Source organism: Homo sapiens, chromosome 1 (genome assembly GCF_000001405.40).
Source record: "Homo sapiens chromosome 1, GRCh38.p14 Primary Assembly".
NCBI classification, from domain to species: Eukaryota; Metazoa; Chordata; class Mammalia; order Primates; family Hominidae; genus Homo; species Homo sapiens.
Genome location: NC_000001.11, coordinates 62,186,805 through 62,213,000, shown reverse-complemented (window position 1 = coordinate 62,213,000; position 26,196 = coordinate 62,186,805). Strand labels below are relative to the sequence as shown.

The following is a 26,196-nucleotide window of genomic DNA, read 5'->3' as shown; positions in this document are numbered from 1 at the left end:
TGATTCGCCCGTCTCAGCCTCCCAAAGCACTGGGATTACAGGCATGAGCCACCATGCCCAGCCTTTTTATATTATACCAGTTATGCCAAAATGCTATTGTTTGGGGTTAAAAAAAAATGGAATATACTGAATTAGTCCTAGTAGCAGTCTAAATGACTAGACCACTCCCTCTCCTTAATTTCTTCACTACTCATCCATTGCAAGTGGATTTTTTTTTTTTTAGACGGAGTCTCGCTGTCACCAGGATGGAGTACCGTGGTGCCATCTCAGCTCACTGCAACCTCCGCCTCCCAGGTTCAAGGAATTCTCCTGCCTCAGCATCTTGAATAGCTGGGACTACAGGCAAGCACCACCATGTCCGACTAATTTTGTTGTATTTTTAGTAGAGATGGGGTTTCACCATGTTGGCCATGATGGTCTTGATCTCTTGACCTCCTAATCCACCTACCTTGGCCTCCCAAAGTGCTTGGATTACAGGTGTGAGCAATGGCACCTGGCTGCCTCATTTCATTCTTAAATAATTAAATGAAAACCTAAGTGTCACATGCTATGGAAGAGATTTCATCTCTCCAGGAATGGGTTCGTGCAGTAAAATTTAACTTATCACACTACGTATGACAAAGTACTTCAGAAAATGTAAGATCAAAATTTTTAAGCAAACAGTATACAGTATTCAAAGGAAAAAGATTTAATATATTCGAGTCACATCATGACAAATGATACAAACTTGTGAAATATCATTTCTTCCTCTTTTTGTATTTTTTTGTAGACACTTTCGCCACATTGCCCAGGATGGCCTTGAACTCTTGGGCTCAAGTGACCCACCTGCCTTGGCCCCCTAAACTGCTGGGATTACAGGTATGAGGAACTGAGCACTTTTCTATTTTAACTAACCTTGCCATCTTTTCCCGTGCTTTTCTGTTACTGTCCCCTCCTGTTTTCCTACTACATTGACAGGTTATCTTGACAGGTGCAGCCCTCCCCCAACAGTATAGAAGTTTATTCTTAGACAAGCTAGCACAATATACTTTTTTTTGAGACGGAGTGTCGCTCTGTGGCTCCGGCTGGAGTGCAGTGGTGTGATCTCGGCTCACTGCAAGCTCCGCCTCCTGGGTTCACGCCATTCTCCTGCCTCAGCCTCCCAAGTAGCTGGGACTACAGGCGCCCGCCACCATGCCCGGCTAATTTTTTTTATTTTTAGTAGAGACGGGGTTTCACTGTGTTAGCCAGGATGGTCTCGATCTCCTGACCTCGTGATCCACCCGCCTCGGCCTCCCAAAGTGCTGGGATTACAGGTGTGAGCCACCGTGCCCAGCCAGATAATATAAATTCTAAAAAGACTAGTCAACTGCAGTAGGGAGGTGGTGGGGGGGAAGTAAAACAAGGAATTCTATCTGTAACTGACTGTGATCAACTGAAATAACTCACTACATTGAGACCAGCCTATTTTTTTTAAACATACCCTTTATTAACATCTAGGTAATATCTGTAATATTCCTTGCTCCTCATCCCCAAGTACGCTATTAGCTGTCCATCCTTCTGGGTAGAAGTGTATTTTCGTTTTACTTGTTGATTTTTGGATGCATGCTGGGGGAGGAAAGCATATTGTTTGTAGTCACCCTGGCGTGCTAAGGTATATTATTCCCCAGTAATTCTCTCAAGGTGGGCATATGCAAAACATAATCTCTAAATTCTTCAATACTAAGAAATACCTTTGTTTTACCCCTAAAATCAAATGCCATTTTGGCTGGATATAGGATTCTAGGATTAAAGCCTTTTTCCAGCAGAACTTTGAAGACATTGCTCCATTTACTTCTAGCATCCAGTGTGTCCAGTGATAAGTCTGCTGTCAACCTGATTCTTGTTCCTTGGTAGGTAATTTCTCTTCTCTCTCTAGAAGCCCTTATTATTTTCTCTTTATCACTAGAATTCCAAAATTTCACCAAGATGTGTCTAGGAGTCAGTCTCTTTTCATCAATTTTACTAGGTACTCGACAAGCACTGACAATCTCAAGACTTGAACCTTTCTTTAGTTCTGCAAAGTTTTCATCAATTATTTCTTTAATTATGTCCTCTGCCCTATTCTCATAACTCTCCTTTTCTGGAATTCCTATCAAACGAATGTTGCAACTTCTAGATCTCTCCTCTATATCTCTTTGCCTTTCTTTACTAATTATCTGTTTGGTCATTTGCATTGTATCCTTAGAGAATTCTTCAATTTGATCTTCTAGACTGTCTATTCTTTCTTCAAGTATGTCCATTCTGCTACTCAGATCATCTACTGAATTTTCAATTTCCAAGACACCTGAATGGGAACTTTTCAAATTTCCAATCTCCTCTTTTATCTCTCTGATGCTATTAATCACACTACTTCTCAAGTTTTCTTCTGTTTCCTCTGTTAAGTCTGCTTCTTTGGATGTTAGTTCTTCTGTGTGCAGAGTTCTGTGTTTCTTTTCTTCTGTTTTCTTAAGTTTGGTGACTCCTGTTGAAATACTCAAATTTGTATGTGAATGCTTTTTATGCTCATCATGACTCATCTCTAGTGACTTTGAGGGAGAGGCCAAACATAAGGTCAGACAGGGTGTGCCAGTTCCTTGACTTGTGGGCACAGCTGTTTCCTCTTCCTCCTGGGTTTTGTGCACCACCTGGTGTTTCACCAACTTTTTCTTCCCAGAGTCCCCAACCAAATAACTAAAGGGAATTTCTTTTTGTCTACGTGAGGCTTTTTTCTCAGTCAGGGAGGTAGTCTTTACCTTTCCTGTTTCAGAGCTCTTTCCTTCTTCTTCCTCCTCTGATTCAGAATCCTCTACAGAGTCAATGAAAGTAGTTTCCATGCCATCACTGGTTATCTCAACTTCATGCTTTGCATCTACCAAAGTATGACCCTGAAAGGTTGAGTCCTGTTCTGAAGTCTGTTCCTCTTCCTCCTCTAGCCCTGAGGCCTCATCCTCCTCCAACCCTGAAGCCTCTTCTTCTTCTTCCTCCTCCAGCCCTGAGGGCTCTTCCTCCTCCTCCTCCAGCCCTGAGGTATCTTCATCATCCTCCATCCCTGAGGCCTCTTCATCCAGCTCCTCTAGCTCGGAAAACTCTTCCTCTTGAGTCTCTAAGTTTTTCATCTCCTCTGGCTTAGCAACTTTTACTTCTTTAAGAAATAGGAAGCTCAAGCCATCACTGGTTATTTCTCCAGCTCTATGCTTTGAGTCTATTAGGGTTTTATCCTGAAAGTTAAACAAAGAAGAAAAAAAAGAGTTATTTGTTTAAATCATTTGTCTTTTAAAGAATTAAAATTTCAATTTCACTAATTTTAATATGGCTTCAATTCTGACAGAAAATATCTGAAAAAGTGCTTAAATATTAATTGTTCTTGAAGGCCTAGGTCCCCAAACAAGTCAAGTCTCCCTATGATCATCTCAAGATATTTGTCATTTCTTGTGTAATCTTGAAACAAATTCTGAGGTCATAATGTCTACTTTCTTCCTTCTAGATCCCTGAACACTTACTGCTGTGTATGTGATTGATCCTCAGTAATTACCTATTTTAATCAATTGTCTGCTTATTGTATGTGAGAGTCCTATGGTAAATAGGCATTGTAATCTGGCTAAAGTTTACAATCTGCTTTAGGAAGATCATAAGCACACACAAACAAAAACCCCAGGCTCACATTTACCTTTCTCCACAGACAACAAACCCAATTAAAAAAAAAAAAAAAAAGACCCCAATTGCAGTTTACACTCTAGCCTTAGGACTTTAAAGACAAGCAGGCTTTGGTTAGGAATACAACAAGCTCAGTTCAAAACTATTCAAACCCTGGCCCGATTGCCACATTTGCTACTAGTGCCTCAATTTTCCTTATAAAGCAGGGTCTAATGGCAGCATCACTCCAGGATTTTTGTAATATAAAGTAAGCAAGGTATTGAGCTTCTGATGATGTCTGCAATATAAATGTTGGCTCCTAATATTCCTTGAAGCCCTTAGTCTGCCACTGAGCTTTTCAACCTTCCCAAACCCACCAGACAGGTTAGGTGCCTCATCTGTGAAACACTGGAAGGCAGCTAATTTCTGAGATTAAATACTGATTCTTAAATAATTTGTTGATTCAAGTGTACCTTTTCCTTATGGATTCTCACTTTGCAGAGGTTACACTTGGAAATGTTGGAAAGGCAGAGGAGAAGCGTTCATTTGAAAACATGTAAAAAAATATTGGCTTACGAATATAGACCTTGGCTGGGCATGGTGGCTCACACCTGTAATTCCAGCACTTTGGGAGGCCAAGGCATGTAGACTGCTTGAGCCCAGGAGTTCGAGACCAGCATGGGCAACATGGCAAAACCTCGTCTCTATAAAAAGTACAAAAATTAGCTGGGTGTGGTAGTGCATGCATGTGGTCCCAGCTATCAGGAGGCTGGAGTAGGAGGATTACTTGAGCCTGGGAGGTGGAGGGTGCAGTGAGCCCAGATTGAGCCACTGCACCCCCACCAGGGCAATAGAGCAAGACTTTATCTCAAAAAAAAAAAAAAAAGCCCCTTCCAGCACAGCAGCCATTGGAGAACAGCAGCCACTGCTCTGTGTGACCCCAAGGCTTTGGGTCTCAACAAGGGCAACAAGGTGATCAAGAACATGAGCAAAAGCCCAGGCACTGCCGCTGTTTCAGGCACCTGACCAAACACACTAAGTTAGTGTGGGACATGATCTGAGAGGTGTGTTGCTTCGCCACGTAGAGTATCACACCACGGAGTTGTTCAAGGTCTCAAAGGACAAACAGGCCCTCAAGTTCATCAAGAAAAGGGTGAGGTCACACATTCACACCAACAGGGAGAGGAGCTGAGTGCCGTCTTGGCCACCATGATGAAACCAGCTGCCAAGAAGGACTAAGGCCCCCTTGCCCTCTGCCCATAATAAAACCTTCACAGAAAAAAAAAGTGCCCTTTAAATCATTACTTTTAATATCATGCTTTTACTTTTAAGGAATCATTTTTTAAAATTTGATTTAACCGGCTGGGCCCAGTGGCTCACGCCTGTAATCCCAGCACTTTGGGTAGCCGAGGTGGATCACCTGAGGTCGGGAGTTTGAGACCAGCCTGACCAACATGGAGAAACCCCGTCTCTACTGAAAATACAAAATTATCTGGGCGTGGTGGTGCATGCCTGTAATCCCAGCTACTTGGGAGGCCAAGGCAGGAGAATCACTTGAACCTGGGAGGCAGAGGTTGTAGCGAGCCGAGATCGTGCCACTGCACTCCCACCTGGCCGACAAGAGCGAAACTCCATCTCAAGAAAAAAAAAATTGATTTATCCTTCAAAATAACCATGCCTACTATTACATTTATACATAAGCTTTATACATTTATACATTTGTATGCTTACCCTTTTTTCTTGAATTCCATATTTTCTTCCTCCTTGATTTATTTCTTCCTTTTGTGGGAGTACATCTTTCAGTAATTCTTTCACAGAAGATTTTTGGCTGGCAAATTTTCTAAGGCTTTGCAGATCTGAAAATGTCTTTATTTCACCATCACATTTAAATGCTAATTTAACTTCACACAGAAATTTAGGTTCAAAATCATTTTCTCTCAGAATGTTGAAGACATTACTCCATTGCTTACTAATATCCAGTGTTGCTGATGAAAGGTCGGCTACCAGGGTAAGTACTGCTCCTTCATCCATCAACACTTTTTCTTCTCTGGAGGCTTTTAAAACCTCCTCTTTATTCTTCAATTTCTGAAATTTTCTTTCCTCTCTCATTTCTTTGACAAATTCATCCTCTCCATCCTTCCTACTCTCTCTTTCTGTAAATTCTAAATGGACATTGCGATTTCCATCTCTGTCATCTATATTGCATAAGGTTTCTTCCATACTTCCCATGACTTCGTAACTTCGTGATTCACCCTGGGGTAATTTCTTACCATCATTACTATTGTATTCGTTAGTGTTGTCTAATTTACCACTCAGCTCATTTACTTCTAATTTAAAGGTTAAATTTTCATTATCATCACCTATTTTAGAGTTTTCTCCTTCTATTTTCCCTACCATCCCTGTTTTTTGTAATGCTAAATTGATTATTTGCTGAAACTCTGTCCTACTACTGGAGTTCTCTGAATTCTTTACCTCAGGTATTGTAGCTTTTCCCCCTAAAACTGCTTTTAGGTCATTTTTAAGAGTTTCCCTCATCTCCTCAAACATCAGGTCTTGAATTTCCATTAAGACCTTAAACTTATTCATAATTGCTGATACGTCCTTGCATTTTAAATCTAATACCGGAGCTATGTCCTTATCAGTTTCTGTTAACTGCTCTCTTTTCATATAGGTGATATTTTCCTTTTTCTTTGCAAGTCTAGCAAATTTTGATTGTACACTAGTAGATACATCAGACATTGTGGATATGTTGTCAAGACTGGATTCTGTTTTTAATTCCTACAGAATGATTTTTGTTCTTACAGGCCTGCTAGACTTCAGAAGTTAAAAAAATCTTAAAATACGTCAATCTGAAATACAAAAAAATGAAAAATTACTTACTAAAGAATTCTCTTGAGAAACTTGGTAAGAATATGAGCTTAGTTAAGAAAACTATGCTGGGTGCACTCCATAATAAATTAATAAAAAGTTCACTAGCAAAATGGGTAAGATTAGAAAATTAGAATTCAAAATTTATAAATTATCATGAAAATTCCCTTTACATAGTGATTTGAATGCAATAAATTAACCAAAGAGCAGATAACTAAGAATGAAGCTGTCTGATTTGCCATACTATTAACTTTGTTGTCTGTGTTCTCTATAATGAGATTAATTATAATAGATGTTATTCTTTAAGAAACCAACATATGTATCATACCAAATCATCCAAATCTAAGCTAACTTGAATAGAATCTTACGCAAAATTGAGAAATAGTTGTCCCTTTTGAATTGCAGAGATTGTTAACATTAAGACTTTTTCTGAAAACCAATTATCAAGTCAATTCAAAATGACTTTCTTGGCCAGGCATGGTGGCTCACACCTGCAATCCCAGCACTTTGAGAGGTTGAGGTGGGAGGATCACTTGACCCCAGGAGTTCGAGACCAGCCTGGGCAACATAGGGTGACCTGTCTCTACAAAAAAATAAAAAATTAGCTGGGCATAGTGACACACGCCTGTGGTCCCAGCTACTTGGGAGGTTCAGATGCAAGGATGACTTGAGCCTGGAAAGTTAAGACTGCAGTGAGCTGTGATTGTGCCCCTGCACTCCACACCTTGGGTGACAGAGTGAGACCTTGTCTCAACAGAATAATATTGTTAGGCAGGCACAGTGGCTCACGCCTGTAATCCCAGCACTTTGGGAGGCTGAGGTGGGTGGATCATTTGAGGTCAGGAGTTCAAGACCAGCCTGGCCAACGTGGCAAAACCCCGTCTCTACAAAAATACAAAAATTAGCCAGGTATGGTGGCACGTGCCTGTAATACCAGCTACTCAGGAGGCTGAGGCATAAGAATTGCTTGAACCTGGGAGGCAGAGGTTTCAGTGAGCCAAGTTCAAGCCACTGAACTGCAGGCTGGGCAACACAGCAAGACTGTCTAAAAAAAAATATATATATATATATATATATATATAGAGAGAGAGAGAGAGAGAGAGAGAGAGAAAGAGAGAGAGAGAGAAAGAGAGTTTTCGTTGGTTTTATTTTGTTTTTTTCTTTTGACAGTCTTGTTCTTGTCACCCAGGCTGGAGTGCAATGGCGCGATCTCGGCTCACTGCAACCTCCGCCTCCCAGCTTTAAGCAATTCTCCCGCCTCAGCCTCCCGAGTAGCTGGGATTACAGGTGCCAGGTAATTTTTTTTTGTATTTTTAGTGGAGACGAGGTTTCACCATGTTGGTGGCTGGCCTCGAATTCCTGACCTCGTGATCCGCCTGCCTCGGCCTCCAAAGTGCTGGAATTACAGGCTTGAGCCACTGCACCCAGCCAAGAATATTGATTTTTAGAGTACAGGGAGATCTAGAAAAGGCTTCCCTGGTGAAGGCAGGTGAATCACTTGAGCTCAGGAGATTGAGACCTGCCTGGGTAACATGGTGAAACTGTCTCTAACAAAAATTAGCCTGGTGTGGTGGCGTGCACTGTAGTCCCAGTAATAAGGGAGGCTGAGGTAAGAGGATCACTTGAGCCTGAGGGAGGCAGAGGATGCAGTGAGCTGACATCGCACCATTGCACTCCAGCCTGGGTGACAGTGTGAGACCCTGTCCCCTCCCCTGCAAAATAAGAATCACATAAGCAGCTAAAATGTCATTCTTGTCAGGGCAAAAGATATATGCTCAGCACCCAACCAAGAATTTCAAGCAGGGCACGGTGCCACACCTGTAATCCTAGCACTCTGGGAGGTTAAGGTGGAATGATTACTTGAGCCCAGAAGTTCAACATCAGCCTGGGCAACATAGTGAGACGCTGTTTCTAAAAAATAATTTCAGAAATTTTTCATTGCAATAAAAATTGAATCAGGAAAAAGGATAGCATAAAAGTAAAAGATAAATTAAACTTAAAAACTTCTATGTTTAATGTTTAAATACTAAAGGTTAAAGTTATTTAAATTTTAAAATGACTATTCAGTCAAACTAATGGAGAAACTTAAAATACTAAATCAAAATGATAACTACCTATCAAAACTTGGGGAATGTAGCTAAAGTGGTGCTTTGAGGAAAATGTATAGACTTAAAATTTTAGAATTTTCTAGAAAGAATAAAAATTAAAGTTAAATTACCAGATCAAGGGCAAAATCTACCCAAGAAACCAAAAGAGATGCGCGCAAATCAAAGAAATGAAAAACAGAAACTTATAGAGAATTAACAAAACCAAAATACAAATAAGGAATACTATGAATAACAAGGGGACACAACTACAGATAAAGCATGGTTCAAAAATGGGAGCACCATTCAACTTTCATAATTAAATCAGAAAATTTAGAAGCAACTATTATCTTAGCTGTGCCCAAACTCTTCTAGAGAATAGCGAAAAAAGGCCAGGCACGGCGACTCACATCTAGAATCCCAGCACCTTGGGAGGCCAAGGCAGGTGGATCCCCTGAGGTCAGGACTTTGAGACCGGCCTGGCCGAGATGGCGAAACCCCATCTCTACTAAAAATACAAAAATTAGCAGAGGCCAGGCGTGGTGGCTTACACCTGTAATCCCAACACTCTGGGAGGCCGAGGCAGGTGGATCACAAGGTCAGGAGATAAGACACCATCCTGGCTAATACGGTGAAACCCTTTCTCTACTAAAAATATAAAAACAAAAAATTAGCTGGGTGTGGTGGCAGGCACCTGCAGTCCCAGCTACTTGGGAGGCTGAGGCAGGAGAATGGCATGAACCTGGGAGGCAGAGCTTGCAGTGAGCCTAGATCGTGCCACTGCACTCCAGCCTGAGCGTCAGAGCGAGACTCCGTCTCAAAAGAAAAAAAACATTAGCCAGACGTGGTGGCACGCACCTGTAGTCCCAGCTACTCAGGAGGCTGAGGTATAAGAATCACTTGAACCTGGGAGGTGGAGGTTGCAGTGAGCCAAGATCACGCCACTGTACCGGGCGACAGAGTGAGACCCTGTCTCAAAAAAAAAAGAGAGTAGAATGATAGTTACCAGAGCCTGGGAAGGGTAGTAGGTGGGTGGATGTAGGGAATAGGGATGGTTAATGGGTACAAAAATAATCTAGTATTTGATAGCACAGCAGGGTAACTACACTCAACAATAGCTTATTGTATACTTAAACAGTATAATTGGAATGTTTGTAACAAGAAGAAATGATAAATGTTTGAGGTAGTGCATAGGATACCCCCATTTACCCTGATGTGATTATTACACATTGCATGCCTGTATGGAAATAAATATATACATCTACTATGTAACCATAAAAATTTAAAACAGGCCAAGCGCAGTGGCTCACACCTGTAATCCCAGCACTTTCGGTGGCCGAGGTGAGTGAGCGGATTGCTTGAGCCCAGGAGTTTGAGACCAGCCTCAGCAATGCAGTGAGACCTCATCTCCAGTTTTTTTAAAAAACAAATTAGGCTGGGTGAGGTGGCTCATGCCTGTAATCCCAGCACTTTGGGAGGCCGAGGTGGGCAGATCACCTGAGGTCAGGAGTTCGTGACTACCCTGGCCAACATGGTGAAACCCTGTCTCTACTACAAATACAGATTTAGCTGGGCGTGGTGGTGGGTTCCTGTAATCCCAGCTGCTCAGGAGGCTGAGGCAGGAGAATCAGTTGAAGCCAGGAGGCGGAGGTTGCAGTGAGCTGGGATCGTGCCATTGCCTCCAGCCTGGGCGACAAGAGCAAAAGAGCAAGACTCTGTCTCAAAAAAAAAAAAAAAAAAAAAAAATTAAACCCTGGATGTGGAAGTTGCAATGAGCCCAGATCACGCCTCTGGGCTACAGAGTAAGCCTCTGTCTCAAAAAAATAAAAAATAAAAAATTTTAAATGAACAGCTAAAAAAAAAAAAAAAGAAAAGAAAAAGAAAAAAGCATGATAGTTACAAAAAATTGTTTAAAAAACACGGCACTCATTTATCACAAAGTAACTTCCAAAATATGAGCAACAGGAGGTAAGGGGGACAAATGTATACAGAAAATCTTGATTACACCAGAGTAAAGGTCAAAAGAGGAAACATGTAAAACATGTAAATGATTACTAAAAAAGAGAAGGAATCAATATTAATTACACATTTCACCCTCAGCCTTTTTTTTTTTTTGAGATGAAGTTTCACTCTTGTTGTCCAGGCTGGAATGCAATGGCATGATCTCGGCTCACCGCAACCTCCACCTCCCAGGTTCAAGCGATTCTCCTGCCTAAGCCTCCCAAGTAGCTGGGATTACAGGCATGTGCCACCACGCCTGGCTAATTTTGTACTTTTAGTAGAGACAAGGTTTCTCCGTGTTGGTCAGGCTGGTCTCGAACTCCCAACCTCAGGTGATCCACCCACCTCGGCCTCCCAAAGTGCTGGGATTACAGGCGTGAGCCACCTCACCCAGCCTCATCCCTCTTAATTAAGTAAATTTTAAAAACCCAGCACCAGTAGTGTCTGAATCTAATCAAGGACTGAGAAAGCAACCAAATAGTCCACCGGACAGGTCCATAGGACCCTATACAGGACTTCAACAGGAATAAAGGGGCCCACTCTCATTCAGGAGACTAAGGGAATTCACTAGATGCAATGTACGCTCCCCCTATTTTGGATCTCTATTTGAATGAATCAACTGTAAAATGCAGGGAGTACTGAATATGGACTGATTATTAAATATTGAGGAATATATATTTTATTAACTGTAACAATACTGTATTTAGTTAAGAAAGTCTCCTTATTTTATAAGAGCTACATACTGAAGTTTTTACAGGTGAAATGGCATGATGTCTGGGATTTACTTTAAAACACAGCAAACAACTAAGAAAGAAAAAAGAGAGATTAAACAAATGGGGGAAAATATTTGTTTTTGAATCTAGGTGATGAGTTCTTACTTTTATTGATGTTTGAATATGCTAATTTTTTTTTTTTTTTTTTTTTAAGCAGGGTCTCACTCGCCGAGGTTGGAGTGCAGTGGCACCGGGTCTAGCCTGATAATGCTTCTAATATTTTTTTTTAAACTGAAAATCCTTAAGGAAAACCACTGAGCTCTCCCTGGTGAAATAGACTTCTACTTGACTTGCCAAGATGACACAGAAAGCTGAAAACAAGGGTAAACTTCTACAGGCACATAAGGACAAATTTTTCTGATAACAATTGTGCCTTTATTGTGTCCAATAAACGCTACAATAAATGTACTTGAGGCCGGTTGCAGTGGCTTATGCCTGTAATCCCAGCACTTTGGGAAGTTGAGGAGGGCAGATCACCTGAGGTCAGCAGTTCCAGACCAGCCTGGCCAACATGGTGAAACCCTGTCTCTACTAAAAATACAAAAATTAGCTGGGCATGATGGCGGGCACCTGTAATCCCAGCTATTCCAGAGGCTGAGACAGGAGAATCACTTGACCTCGGTAGACAGAGGTTGAATTAGGGTTAACGCCACTGCACTACAGCCTGGGCAACAGAGCGAGCAAGACTCCATCTCAAAAAAAAAGTAAAAATAAAAATAAAATAAAACAAATAAACTAAAACTAAATAAAATATTTTTAGGAAAGACAATGTAAATCAATAGTAAACATGTGAAAGGTGGCCCAATCCCAGGAGTTGAGTACATAATAAAAAAACAATGAGACCACTTTTACCCATCAGAAGTAGGAATAGTTATTAAACATTTCAGGAAACGAAAAGCCTATTATTAAAGTCAGAAATAATACATATACTCTCCCCTTGAGAATCTACCATTAGGAATGAAACCACCTGTACACTTAGGAATACATGAATAGAAATTTTAGTACTGAGTTTTTTCTGGCCAAAAAATACTAGAAAACAATGTCCTTTAATAAGAGAAGGGTGGAACAAATGATGATTTATGCACACGATGGGATTATATAGAATAGATATAACTATATATAAGTACATAAATACATTAATTTATAAAATATACATTATAATATACATTATGGCCAGGCACAGTGGCTCACGCCTGTAATTCCTGCACTTTGGAAGGCCAAGGCAGGCGGATCATCTGAGGTCAGGTGTTCAAGACCAGCCTGGCCAACATGGTGAAACCCCGTCTCTACTAAAAATACAAAAATTAGCCAGGCGTGGTGGCGGGCTCCACCAGCTACTCGGGAGGTTGAGGCAAGACAATTGCTTGAATGCGGGAGGCGGAGGTTGCAGTGAGCTGAGACCACGCCATTGCACTCCAACCTGGGCAACAAGAGTGAAACTCCGTCTCAAATAATCATAACCATAATATACATTGTTATATATATATACACCATGTTATGATATATATACTCTATATGGTGCATACAATATGTTCAACGTACATATAAAAATTATACCATACATAATAAGAGTATATTAGAATCATACCCATTGGTTAAGGATGTCTTTGGTATACTAGAGGGAAAAAATGGTGCAGAAAATATAGAGTACAATCCAATTTTGTAAACACATATACAAAAACCATATGTACAGTAAACACAAAAAGATTATATTAGTCAGGAGAATGCAAATCAAAACACATTCCAGTGTTTGAACACCCTGATTACAGCCAGTGCAGGGGCAAATATCCACCCTGGCCACATTCATAGTGACCCTGGGGATTTTTTGACCTTTTCAGTAATTAATCTGGCCAGTGCCCTATTATCTAACACTACCTTTTTTGGGTAATGTGTTTTCCAAGAGTCACTCTATAGTACATGACAGGTGCAATGAGAAACTCGAAATTAAGTTATTTTTTTTAAAAGAGACAGGGTCTTGCGATGTTGCCGAGGCTACACTCAAACTCCTGTCTCAGCCTCCTGAGTAGCTGGGAATACAAGCACGCACCACCATGCCTGGCTTAAAACTGAAAATTACAGCCGGGCACGGTGGGATTTATTATTTGTTGTTAACTGTATCAAATGCTGATTTTTTTTTTTTTTTGATACAAGAGTCTCACTCTGTGGATTAGGCTGGAGTGCAGTGGCACAATCTTGGCTCACTGCAAACTCTGCCTCCTGGGTTCAAGCGATTCTCCCGCCTCAGCCTCCTGAGTTGCTGGGACAACAGGCACACGCCACCATGCCCGGCTAATTTTTGTATTTTTAGTAGAGACGGGGTTTCACCATGTTGGCCAGGCTGGTTTCAAACTCCTGACCTCAGGTGATCCACCTGCCTCAGCCTCCCAAAGTGCTGAGATTACAAACATGAGCCACTGCTCCCAGCCTCAAATGCTAAATGCTAAATTATGATTAGCGTTTAATGACAATAAATATATGTGACCTTTTTCACATCCAAGATATCAGATACTCTGAATTCTAGCCAGACACTACCCAGGCACTCTGGGTTCAAAATCCCTGATCAAGAAGAAAGCAGAGGCTGGTACAAGTTTAGCAAATTTTGTCTCAGGGTTGGATGGTAGCCATCAAAAGGGCTCAGGGACCAGACGTCCTGGCTTCTGCCTGCAGTCCCAGCTACTTGGGAGGCTGAGGCGGTCAGATTATTTGAGCCCAGGAGTTCAAGGTTACTCTAAGCTATGATTGCATCACTGCATTCCAGCCTGGGTGACAGAGCAAGACCCTGCCAAAAAAAAAAAAGTGATTAGGGAGACCGGAGATTTTCACCAGTGTACTCCCAAGTTCTGCTTTGTATTTTAAGGAGGTTACTTTAAAAGTATACAATACAGGAGAGCACCGGTTGGAAAGGGCAAGAAATGTTTAGCACTTCCCTCAAGGGACTGGGGGTTGGGAGGGCGGATAAACTTCCTTTAATTTTAGGGATGGAAAAAAGCTTGTTGATTTGCATTGCCTTGGCTTGTGACTGCCATCTTTTCATATGTTTATCTGCTTGCATTTCCTTTGTGGTGTATTACCTTTTCAACACTGGCAGCCTGTTCTTATCGGCGGGGTGGGGCGGCGGCGGGGGGTCGGTGTGTGTGTTTTTCTGAATTTGCTGGGGGGATTATGGACTTCTCTTTTCTTCTTTTTTTTTTTTTTAAATAAGAACAATTACTAGTCCCTCACCTCAGTCTCTATTATCTGACCTCTGAGGCCACCCAAAGTTTGGTGTGGTATCTCTCACAACGTACAGGTGACTTTTGTGTTTTTGCTTTTTTTTTTGAGATCTCACTCTCGCCCAGCGTGGCAAGCAGTGGTGTGATCACTGTTCGCTGGTCACAAACTCCAGGGACCAAGTGATCCTCTCACCTCAGTCTCCTGAGGAGCTGGTATTACAGGCATGCTACCATACCAAGATAAAGTGCCTGGTTTTTATGGGTGCATGGGAGGACAATAAAGGAGAATGCCAACTTCGACTTCTAGTTAGTACGTCTCTCTCCTTGGGTATGGGGACATTTACTTTTTTTTAATAGCTTTATACTTTTAACACTATTTTCTTTTTTTCAATAGGCCATTTGTAATCTTCCAGTTATATATGCACACCTCACTCTTCTATGTGTGACATGCCATATTTTGAACATATTTTGGTTCAATAAGTAATTCCCTCAGCAGTGGGCATTCAAGTAATTTACAGGGTTTTGTTTTGTTTTGTTTTGTTTTCTTCTGTTTTTGAGACAGAGTCTCACTGTCGCCCAGGCTGAAGTGCAGGTGGCACAATCTCAGCTCACTGCAACCCCCGCTTCCCAGGTTCAAGTGATTCTCCTGCCTCAGCCTCCCGAGTAGCTGGGACTACAAGCGTGCACCACTGCACCCAGCTAATTTTTGTATTTTTAGGGATGGGGCTTCACCATGTTGGCCAGGCTGGTCTCCAGCTCCAGACCTCAGGTGATCCGCCCACCTCGGCCTCCCAAAGTGCTGGGCTGGGTGCGGTGGCTCAAGCCTGTAATCCCAGCACCTTTCGGGGCAGCAGGAGCACTTGAGGCCAGGAATTTGAGACCAGCCTGTGCAACATAGCAAAACCATCTCTAAAAAACTTTTTTAGATAATAAAAAATTTGGAATATATGAGCTTCTTAACCTACTACTAAACAAGATTGAGTAGCAGGACTAAACTATATATATATATATATATATATATATATATATATAATTTATTTTTTTTGAGAGGGCGTCTCACTCTTGCCCAGGCTGGAGTGAAATGGCAGGATCTCGGCTCACTGCAACCTCCACCTCCCAGGTTCAAGCGATTCTCCTGCCTCAGCCTCCCACGTAGCTGGGACTACAGGAGCGTGCCACCATGCCCAGCTAATTTTGGTACTTTTTAGTAGAGATGGGGTTTCGCCATGTTGGCCAGACTGGTCTCGAACTGCTGACCTTAAGTGATCTGGCCTCCTCAACCTCCCAAAGTGCTGGGATTACAGGTGTGAGCCACCACACCTGGCCCTACCTTTTAATCTTGAAGTAGTGAGAATGCAAAACCTGCAACAACTGTTATGTGAAACAAAATGTGGTTTCTAGCGATGACGAACTGTGGGTTCTGCTAATAGCACCAGACTGCAAAAGGGTCCTGACCCACACTAGATTATAAGTAGGGCTCATTTCTTTATCAGACCCAAGGTCATTTCCCTTGTTTCACTCTAAAATACCCCTCCCCAGTCCAGGCGCAGTGACTCACGCCTGTAATCCCATCACTTTAGGAGATGGAGGTGGAAGGATCACCTGAGGTCAGGAGCTCGAGACCACCCTGGCCGAATGGCAAAACCCCGTCTCTACTAAAAATACAAAAATTAGCCGGGTATAATGGCAGGCGCCTGTAATCCCAGCTACTTGGGAGGCTGAGGGAGTAGAATCGCTTGAACCCAGGAGGCGTAGGTTGCAGTGAGCGGAGATGGCACCATTGCACTCCAGCCTGGGCGACAAGAGCGAAACTCCGTCTCAAAAAATGAAATACCCCACCCCAACCCCACCCGCACACTTACCCGCCACTAATCCTACCCCTAATCCACTAAACTACTTACCAAGTCTCAGCAGTTCATCCGCCTCTGTACCTTCGCTGGGAAGACGAACTCCGCAGAGCAGGACTCGGGTCTACTCTAAGCTGTGCCTTGGTGCCTAGAATTCAAGTCAAGTTCATAACACCAAAGTTTAAGGTTTATTTAATGTAGAAAATCACCTTATATTGAAGACTGGGAAAAAAAAGCACTTATCTATGCATGTGTTTGCTTAAAAAGGCACACACAATTAGCAGAGTCTGGGGTGTAAGTCGGGAGAGGGCTGCAGGGAATGGGAGGACCCAGAGGTGGATCTGAGGAGGCCAGGGAGGGGCCGGAGAGAATGGTTTCTTCTTTGTGAGAGTTGGGGTCTATTATTATGGAAGGCACGCTTTCCTTTTGCAATTTGAACAAGAATTCGATTTGCCTAACAATCGGAGGAAATTGAAGAAAATGCAAAAGTTATTACTTCCAAATCAATTTTTCCAGTCACATAATTAAACACTTTTTTTTTTTTTTGAGACGGAGTTTCGCTCTGCCGCCCAGGCTGGAGTGTAGTGGCCCGATCTCGGCTCACTGCAACCTCCGCCTCCCCGGTTCAAGCGATTCTCCTGCCTCGGCCTCCCTAGTAGCTGGGACTACAGGCGCGAGCCAACACACCCGGCTAATTTTGTATTTTTGGTAGAGACGGGGTTTCCCAAGTTGGCCAGGATGGTCTCGATCTCCTGACCTCGTGATCCGCCCCCGCCTCGGCCTCCCAAAGTGCTGGAAAATAACACGCCCGGCCCTCCATCTTTTTTTATTTGAGACAGTTTCGCCCCTGTTGCCCAGTCTGGAGCGCAATGGCGCGATCTCGTCTCAGTGCAACCTCTGCCTCTCGGGTTCAAGCGATTCTCCTGCCTCAGCCTCCTGAGTAGCTAGGATTACAGGCATGCGCCACCACGCCTGGCTAATTTTGTATTTTTAGTAGAGACGAGGTTTCTCCATGTTGGTCAGGATGGTCTCGAACTCCGACCTCAGGTGATCCGCCCGCCTCGGCTTCCCAAAGTGCTGGGATTACAGGCGTGAGCCACTGCTCCCGGCCCCTCCATCCTTTTTCTAAAGCTAGGACTTGTCAAGCACCACCTCATTTTCTTGACTTTATTTTTTCTTCACAGAACTACTTTCATGTTTCCAATTTGGGGATAGATAAGTCTTAGGAGAGTTTTTTTCTCATTGCGCCACGGACAGTAAGGGAAAGAGCAGGGAGTCAAGTGAGGGGGCCAACTGCCTGCCCCTACCCGGGCCCCACGCACGCACCCGGATCAGCCTTGCCTGGGGCACCTCGGGCCTCACGTACCTGGGCCAGCCTTACCCGGGGCACCCCGCGCCCTTCGCGCCTGGACCAGCCTTATCCGGGGCACCCTGGACCTCACGCTCCTGGACCAGCCTTACTTGGGGCGCTGCGGACCCCACGCGCCTAGACCAGCCTTACCCGGGGCACCCCGGACCCCACGCCCCTGGACCAGCCTTACCCGGGGCACCCCGGACCCCACGCGCCTGGCCCAGCCTTACCCGGCGCGCCCCGGACCCCACGCGCCTGGGCCAGCCTTACCCAGGGCACGCCGGGCCCCATGCACCCGGGCCAGCCTTACCTGGCGAAAAAGGAATCCGCCTGGACGACTGAGGAGCGAACAAAGTGAGGATGGAGCCTTGTAACTAAGGACTGAGAGGATTCCCGATCTCTGGGGCTGGCTCCTCCCCTCCTGGTGTGTCCCAACCCCCTCTGTCTACATACCCGCGCCTCCTCCCCGGAAATCGCATTCCGCCCTAAGCAATTGCTGACTTCCATTGCTGCCCCCCGACTGAGTCCAATTCCCTCTGTCTCCACCGTGCCTCCGCTTGAACGAGCCCCACCCCTCAGACCCGACTCCAGACTCAAATCTGAATAAAGGCACCACTAAAGCGCCTCATCACCCAGGCCTGAACCCCAAGGTCACCTCATTCCTTTTCTTCAACCCTCGCAGTTAATCCATTCCTAAGTCCTTGAATTTGCCGGCGTCTCTCCAACTCCACAGCTCCAGCCCAGTCCAAGCCCCCGTTGTCTCTCACCTGGATCACTGAAATCACCTCCAACTGCTCCCTGGCCTCTCCCACGACCCCTCTGTAATCCTTCTCCCCCTCCAATACTGTTCAGTGGCTTCCTGTTTCGGTTAAATTTCTACCTTCTCATTCTATCCGGACTGCCCCTTCAACATTGTCTTAGCACTACTCTTACAACAGAAACACTCTCTTTCTGTTCCTCAAAAAACACGGAACTACCTGCCTCAGGGCCCTTGCACTGGCTGTTTCCTCTGCGAGTTATTTTTTTCTTTTTCTTTCTTTCTTTCTTTCTTTTTTTTTTTTTTTGAGACAGTCTCTGTTGCCACAGCTGGAGTGCAGTGGCATGATCTTGGCTCACTGCAACCCCGGCCTCCTGGGTTCAAGCAATTCTCCTGCCTTAGCCTCCCAAGTAGCTGGGATTACAGGAGCACGCCACCACTCCCGGAAAATTTTTGTATTTTTTTTTTTTCTTTTTGAGACAGAGTTTTCTTATGTCACCCAGGCTGGAGTGCAGTGGCGCAATCTCGGCTCACTGCAACCTCTGCCTCCTGGATTCAAGCGATTTCTCCTGCCTCAGCCTCCTGAGTAGCTGAGATTACAGGCCCATGCCACCACGCCTGGCTAGTTTTTGTATTTTTAGTAGAGGGGGGTTTCACCATGTTGGTCAGGCTGGTCTTGAACTTCTGACCTGGTGATCCGCCCACCTCAGCTTCCCAAAGTGATGGGATTACAGGCGTGCGCCACCACGCCTGGCCACCTCTTTATTTTCCCAGTTCTTTCAGGATGGCTTCTGTTCATCCTCAGGTCTCAGGTCCAATGTTAACTCCTCTAACAGGCCTCCCAGACTACCCTTTCTACAGGAGCCAAACTCCCCATATCCCAATACTCTTTTTTTGTTTTATTTTTGTTTCTTAAGAGAGGGTCTTGCTCTCTAACAGAGACTCAAAGGTTCTGGGTGGTTGGACTCCCCAGGCCTGACTTGCAAGGCTCAGGTGGAACTTGACTTGCCCAAAGTCATGCAGCTAATAAGCAAAGAAGCCTCAATATCTGGTAGTTCAGTCAATACACAGCATATGAATAAACAAAGAGAATTCGGTCTTTTGCTTTTAATCCCTTATTTCTTCTTACTGCCTAAAATCCCAGCACTTTGGGAGGCTGAGGTGGGAGGATCACTTGTTCATAGTTTAAAACAAAGATGATAACAGCCCTTTCCCGAAACAAACCCTGGGGATTTAGACTGCCTTTGCAGTACTAACAAATTAGCCACAGGATTAGAAATTATGGTTTAGGAGTCATGCAGCTGGAGGCTACAAGACTCTGACTCTCCCCAAATGGCTTCTGGGGATAAGACCACTACTGCAAAACCTAAGACCAGGGAGATATTCCACAGATATTTTGCAGATCCTGCACTTGACGGATCAGCTGGTACCACCCAGATCAATAAACTGGCTGATATGATCTTGGTGGCCCCCACCCAGGAATTGATTCAGCGCAAGAAGACAGCTTTGACTCCCTATGATTTCATCTCTGATCTGACCAATCAGCACTCCCAGCTCACTGGCTTCCCCCCTCCCACCAAGTTGTCCTTAAAAACTCTGATCCCTGAATGCTTGGGGAGATTGATTTGAGTAATAAAACTCTGGTCTCCCACACAGCCCACTCTGTGTGAATTACTCTTTCTCTATTGCAATTCCCCTGTCTTGATAAATGGGCTCTGTGTAGGCAGTGGGCAAGGTGAACCCATTGGGCAGTTACAATCACACCACTACACTCCAGCCTGGGTGACAGAGCAAGACCTTGTCTAAAAAAAAAAAAAAAAAAAACTGGGCAAGGTGGCTCAAGCCTGTAATCCCAGCACTTTGGGAGTCCAAGGCAGGTGGATCACCTGAGGTCAGGAGTTTAAGACCTGAGGTAAGCCTGGCCAATATGGTGAAACCCCATCTCTTATAAAAGTACAAATATTAGCCAGGCGTTGTGGTGTGTGCCTGTAATCCCAGCTACTCAGGAGGTTGAGGCAGGCGAATCGCTTGAACCTGGGAAACGGAGGTTGCAGTGAGCTGAGATCGTGCCACTGCACTCCAGCCTGGGTGACAGAGCAAGACCCTGTCTCAAACAAACAAAAAAAACGAAAATTTGAACACTGACTGGATATTTGATGATATTAAGAATAACTGTTGGGCTGGGCGCGGTGGCTCACGCCTGTAATCCCAGCACTTTGGGAGGCCGAGGCGGGGCGGATCACGAGGTCAGGAGATCGAGACCATCCTGGCTAAAACGGTGAAACCCCGTCTCTACTAAAAAATACAAAAAAATTAGCCGGGCGTGGTGGCCGGCGCCTGTAGTCCCAGCTACTCCGGAGGCTGAGGCAGGAGAATGGCGTGATCCCGGGAGGTGGGGCTTGCAGTGAGCCGAGATCATGACACTGCACTCCGGCGTGGGCGACAGAGCGAGACTCCGTCTCGAAAAAGAAAAAGAATAACTGTTAATTTCAGTGTAATAAGATTACTGTGATTAGATTTTTTAAAGGTTAAAGCCTTCTGTTACTTAAGATCACGTGTTCTTGGGCTCTCAGTGCAATAGAAATTGACATGAGGCTGAAGGAGTGTTCCCATACAAGGCTTGTTAGAGCTTATGCACAGACATAACGGAGAGGACTACCTGACTAACTCTGCTTTATTAGACAATCAGGGGTAGAGTATGCAGGTTGGGCTGGGCAAAGCACATGAGGGGTAGAGTATGCGGGTCAGCCTTATCTGGTTTTGATGGCTTTATTGAGTAATGGATCACCCACCTGGTGGTCTGGCGAACAGCAACAAGGCTGTAAATCAATTGTTCAGCATTTCTTCCTGAGGTGGGACACTCCACAACCTTAGTTTAATATTTAGATTTCCTAAAGCCAGTTCCCGGAATTCTTTTAAGTAAAAGGCAAGGTTAAACATTATGGGCGGGGTGCGGTGGCTCACGCCTGTAATCCCAGCACTTTGGGAGGCGGAGGCGGGCAGATCACGAGCTCAGAAGATCGAGAACATCCTGGTTAACACGGTGAAACCCCGTCTCTACTAAAAATATAAAAAAATTAGCCAGGCTTGGTGGCTGGCCCCTGTAGTCCCAGCTACTCAGGAAGCCGAGGCAGGAGAATGGCATAGAACCCGTAAGAGCCAAGATTGCACCACTGCACTCCAGCCTGGGCGACAGAGCAAGACTCCATCTCAAAAAAAAAAAAAATTATGAAAGAGGTGCTGTGCCCCATCCTTATTATATTTCACTTCCAGCCCTATGCTACTAGATTTGGGGTAAAAAGACTGGGTTCTGGGTTCCAATGGGCCAATCAAGGCCTATTTATATGAAGAAGTGGAGCTGGCTGGTGGCAAAGGGAATAGGCTAGTGAGGTGGTGGTGTCCTACAGCAGAGGCCTTGATGCTGGTGCATGCTGCCTCTACGGTACTTGGAGAACTTCCAGCAGATAAGTTGGCCTAAACAGTTGCTTTGTTTTGTTTTGTTTGTCCACTGAAGCATTTTATTTGTACATGTGTATTACATCCCTAGAAAAAGAATTCCAGGATTTTACTCGCTGTGTGTTTTCATTTTGCTTCTTCATGGCCCATGATGTCAGGTGAGGTTGTCAGTACAATGAAACCAAACAGAGGGGAAGGGAAGAGATTATTCTGCCATTTTTCTAGATCTTTGAGTTATATGTCGAATCTGGGCCTGATCACTGCACACTTGTGTAACCTTGTCTGAGAGATTCTCAACAATTTTCCCAGCTCTGTGATCATCGATGACCTCAAATTTGCCAATGTTCAAATTTGAACATTTGAACATGCTTCATCATCAGAGTGAGAAACCAGATGTTGTCTTTGGAGCAAAGCCTAATAAGAACCTAGCCTTTGCCTCTCTCTTCAGCATTGTTGATGCTCTTGAGAACATCTGCCAGGACATTTATGTGCACCATTATGGTGGCACAGTAAGACGGCAGAAAGAGCTTGTTGTTGTTGTTTTTAATTATTATTATTTTTTTTGAGACGGAGTTTTGATTTTGTTGCCCAGGCTGGAGTGCGATGGTGCAATCTCGGCTCACTGCAACCTCCACCTCCCGGGTTCCAGCGATTCTCCTGCCTCAGCCTCCCAAGTAGCTTGGACTACAGGCATGCACCACCATGCCCAGCTAATTTTTGTATTTTTGGTACAGTTGGGGTTTCACCATGTTGGCCAGGGTGGTCTCAAACTCCTGACCCCAGGTGATCCACGCACCTCGGCCTCCCAAAGTGCTGGAGTTACAGGCGTGAGTCAACATGCCTGGCCTTTTTAAAAAATATTCATGAAGTATTGTAAAATTCTGTCCATTAGTAACTAATATTTGAGAACATTTACAATATTAATGGAATTTAAAGATAAGTTAGATGTATGTTTTATTTTACATTTCAATACATCTTAATAGGAGATAAAAATAATTACGGTCACAATTATAATGGCAAAAACATATAAATGTTTGGTGTTAGAATATCTATATACAATTCAGTTTTTGGTATAAAGTTCTTGGTTGCCAAAAAGAACATTAGGTTAACTTCATTAACAGGAATATGTGTTAATGCTGGTATGGCTTCTTGGTATTTTTTTCGTTTGTTTTGTTTTGTTTTGTTTGAGACGGAGTCTCGCTGTGTCGCCCAGGCTGGAGTGCAGTGGCGGGATCTCGGCTCACTGCAAGCTCCGCCTCCCGGGTTCACGCCATTCTCCTGCCTCAGCCTCCCCAGTGGCTGGGACTACAGGCGCCCGCCACCACGCCCGGCTAATTTTTTGTATTTTTAGTAGAGACGGGGTTTCACCATGTTAGCCAGGATGGTCTCAATCTCTTGACCTCGTGATCCGCCCGCCTCGGCCTCCCAAAGTGCTGAGATTACAGCGCCTCGGCCTCCCAAAGTGCTGAGATTACAGGCCTGAGCCACCGCGCCCGGCCCTTGGTATTTTTTTCGCTGTTAATTTTTGGAATAGTTGCGTATGATTTTACGAATGGAGTTGAGTGGAGAGAGAGATACTCATTACTTTAGTGCCAAAAAAGAGTACATAACTGGTTACTATAGTACTAAGGAGGTAGACAGGTAATGCAACTGCCCAGTATTTTTGAAGCCAATAATTTAAGCATGAAGAATTTTGCCAAGATTCAGGAGCCAAAGTCCATAGTAGACAAGGCATGAAGCCAAATTGGGAGTTTAAGAAAAGAACAGAGCCATACATTGCTCTTTCTGGCAGATGTAATGGTGAATTCTCCATGACTATCCTACGGCTTTAGACAGTCTCAGCGCTGGGTCCTCTGTGCTAGTGATCAGGAAGCTGCAGGAGGGGGAGACAAGAAAAAATGAGGGAGGCCGGGCGCGGTGGCTCACGCCTGTAATCCCAGCACTTTGGGAGGCCGAGGCAGGCGGATCACGAGGTCAGGAGATCGACCCATCCTGGCTAACACGGTGAAACCCCGTCTCTACTAAAAATACAAAAATTAGCTGGGCGTGGTGGCGGGCGCCTGCAGTCCCAGCTACTTGGGAGGCTGAGGCAGGAGAATGGCCTGAACCCGGGAGGCGGAGCTTACAGTGAGCTGAGATTGCGCCACTGCACTCCAGCCTGAGTGACAGTGCGAGACTCCGTCTCAAAAAAAAAAAAAAAGAAAAATTGAGGGAAAGGTGAACATGCCATGGTGCCCCAACTCCATCCCAGTCACCCTAAGGCGACCAGTTTTCTGAGCCTCAACTTAAACATATATCTATTTTTAAGCGAATCTCCCTAAAAAGGCGACTGAGGTCTGAGAGATTCCCTTTTCTTACCCTTACCTGCCTTTTCCTCAATCTTTCTTTTCCCACTGTGTAAAAAGATGACATTTCTGAACTCATTTTTTTTAAAAGGAGTTTCACTCTTGTTGCCCAGGCTGGAGTCCAATAGCGTGATCTCGGCTCACTGCAACCTCCGCCCCCAAGGTTCAAGCGATTCTTCTGCCTCAGCCTCCCAAGTTGCTAGGATTATAGGTGCCCACCACCACACCTACGTAATTTTTTGTATTTTTAGTAGAGATTGGGTTTCACCATATTGGCCAGGCTGGCCTGGAACTCCAGACCTCAGGCGAGCCACCTCGGCCTCCCAAAGTGTTGGGATTACAAGCGTGAGCCACCGCACCCGGACTTCTTAACTCATAGGGGTATTTCTGCTGGGAAAAATCTGGTTGAGCGCAGGAGTTTGAGACCATCCTGGGCAACAAAGTGAGACCTTGTCTTTACTAAAAAGTAAAGACCCAATTAGCTGGGTGTGATGGCACACACCTGTAGTCCCAGCTACCTGGGGGGCTGAGGTGGGAGGATCACTTGAATCCAGGAGTTTGAGGTTGTAGCAAGCTGTGATTGTGCTACTGCACTCCAGTCCAGCCTGGGCAATGCAGTGAGACTCTGTTATTAAAAAACAAACAAAGCTGGGCGCAGTGGCTCATGCCTGTAATCCCAGCACTTTGGGAGGCCGAGGCGGGTGGATCACCTGAAGTCAGGAGTTCGAGACCAGCCTGACCAACATGGAGAAACCCTGACTCTACTAAAAATTAGCTGTGTGTGGTGATGGATGCCTGTAATCGCAGCTACTTGGGAGGCTGAGACAGGAGAGTCGCTTGAACCCAGGAAGTGGAGGTGGCGATGAGCTGAGATCGCACCATTGCACTCCAGCCTGGGCAACAAGACCAAAACTCCATCTCACAAACAACAACAACAACAACAAAAACAAACAAACAACAACAAAAAACAAGCCAGGTGCAGTGGCTCATTCCTGTAATCCCAGCATTTGGGAGGCCTAGGCAGGCGGATCACTTGAAGTCAGTTCAATACCAGCCTGGCCAACATGGCAAAACCCTGTCTCTGCCAAAAAATACAAAAGTTAGCTGGACATGGTGGCAGGCACCTATAATCCCAGCTACTCGGGAGGCTGAGGCAGGAGAATTGCTTGAACCTGGGAGGCGGAGTTGCAGTGAGCTGAGATCTCGCCACTGCACTCCAGCCTGGGTGAGGAGTGAGACTCTGTCTGAAAAACAAAAACAAAAAAAAACAAAAAAAAAAAACAAGAAAAAACAAACAAACAAACAAACGCCCGGGGGTGTGGTGGTTCACATCTGTAATCTCAGCACTTTGGGAGGCCGAAGTGGGCGGATCACCTGAGATCAGAAGTTCGAGACCAGCCTGGCTAACATGGTGAAACACCGTCCCTACTAAAAATACAAAATTAGCCAGGTGTGGTGGTGCAGGCTGTAATTCAAGGTACTTGGGAGGCTGAGGCAGGAAATCTCTTGAACCTGGGAGGCAGAGGTTGCAGTCAGCCGAGATGGCGCCACTGCACTTTTGTTTTTTGTTTTTTAAAGAAAAGTATATAGAAGCAGGCCTGGCATGGTGGATCATGTCTGTAATCCCAGCACTTTGGGAGGCTAAGGCAGGCAGATCACCTGAGGTCAGGAGTTTGAAACCAGCCTGGCCAACATGGTGAAACCCCGTCTCTACTAAAAATAAAAAAATTAGCCGGGTGTTGTGGTGGGCACCTGTAATTCCAGCTACTCAGGAGGCTGAGGCAGGAGAATCCTTGGAACTCGGGAGGCGGAGGCTGCAGTGAGCTGAGATCGTGCCACTGCGCTCCAGCCTGGGTGACTGAGGGAGAC

General features: G+C 44.7%; 1 protein-coding gene and 2 pseudogenes across 2 annotated transcripts, besides 2 other annotated features; all 3 read right to left on the bottom strand.

The window, feature by feature from the left end:
- Positions 1–672: 672 nt before the first annotated feature.
- L1TD1 (LINE1 type transposase domain containing 1) lies at positions 673–18,152 on the bottom strand. Of its 2 annotated transcripts, NM_001164835.2 has the most exons (5): positions 18,080–18,152; positions 16,473–16,566; positions 9,444–9,554; positions 5,365–6,482; positions 673–3,218 (listed from the first exon to the last, which is right to left on the bottom strand). In NM_001164835.2, the coding sequence occupies exons 4-5, from the start codon at positions 6,370–6,372 to the stop codon at positions 1,629–1,631; spliced, it is 2,598 nt and encodes an 865-aa protein (NP_001158307.1). In that variant the 5' UTR covers positions 6,373–6,482; positions 9,444–9,554; positions 16,473–16,566; positions 18,080–18,152; the 3' UTR covers positions 673–1,628. The 2 variants fall into 2 exon arrangements, with proteins under 2 accessions (NP_001158307.1, NP_061952.3); NM_019079.5 differs by lacking the exon at positions 9,444–9,554.
- Positions 17,297–18,152: an enhancer, noted in NCBI's record as "OCT4-NANOG-H3K27ac-H3K4me1 hESC enhancer chr1:62660521-62661376 (GRCh37/hg19 assembly coordinates)". NCBI's record gives its function as "activates a minimal SCP1, AML or CMV promoter by ChIP-STARR-seq in primed H9 embryonic stem cells {active_cell/tissue: H9 hESC(primed)}" and the evidence as "EXISTENCE:reporter gene assay evidence [ECO:0000049][PMID:30033119]".
- Positions 18,153–19,009: an enhancer, noted in NCBI's record as "OCT4-NANOG-H3K27ac-H3K4me1 hESC enhancer chr1:62659664-62660520 (GRCh37/hg19 assembly coordinates)". NCBI's record gives its function as "activates a minimal SCP1, AML or CMV promoter by ChIP-STARR-seq in primed H9 embryonic stem cells {active_cell/tissue: H9 hESC(primed)}" and the evidence as "EXISTENCE:reporter gene assay evidence [ECO:0000049][PMID:30033119]".
- On the bottom strand, positions 22,030–22,509 carry RPS15AP7 (ribosomal protein S15a pseudogene 7; annotated as a pseudogene).
- PIGPP2 (phosphatidylinositol glycan anchor biosynthesis class P pseudogene 2) lies at positions 23,478–23,904 on the bottom strand (annotated as a pseudogene).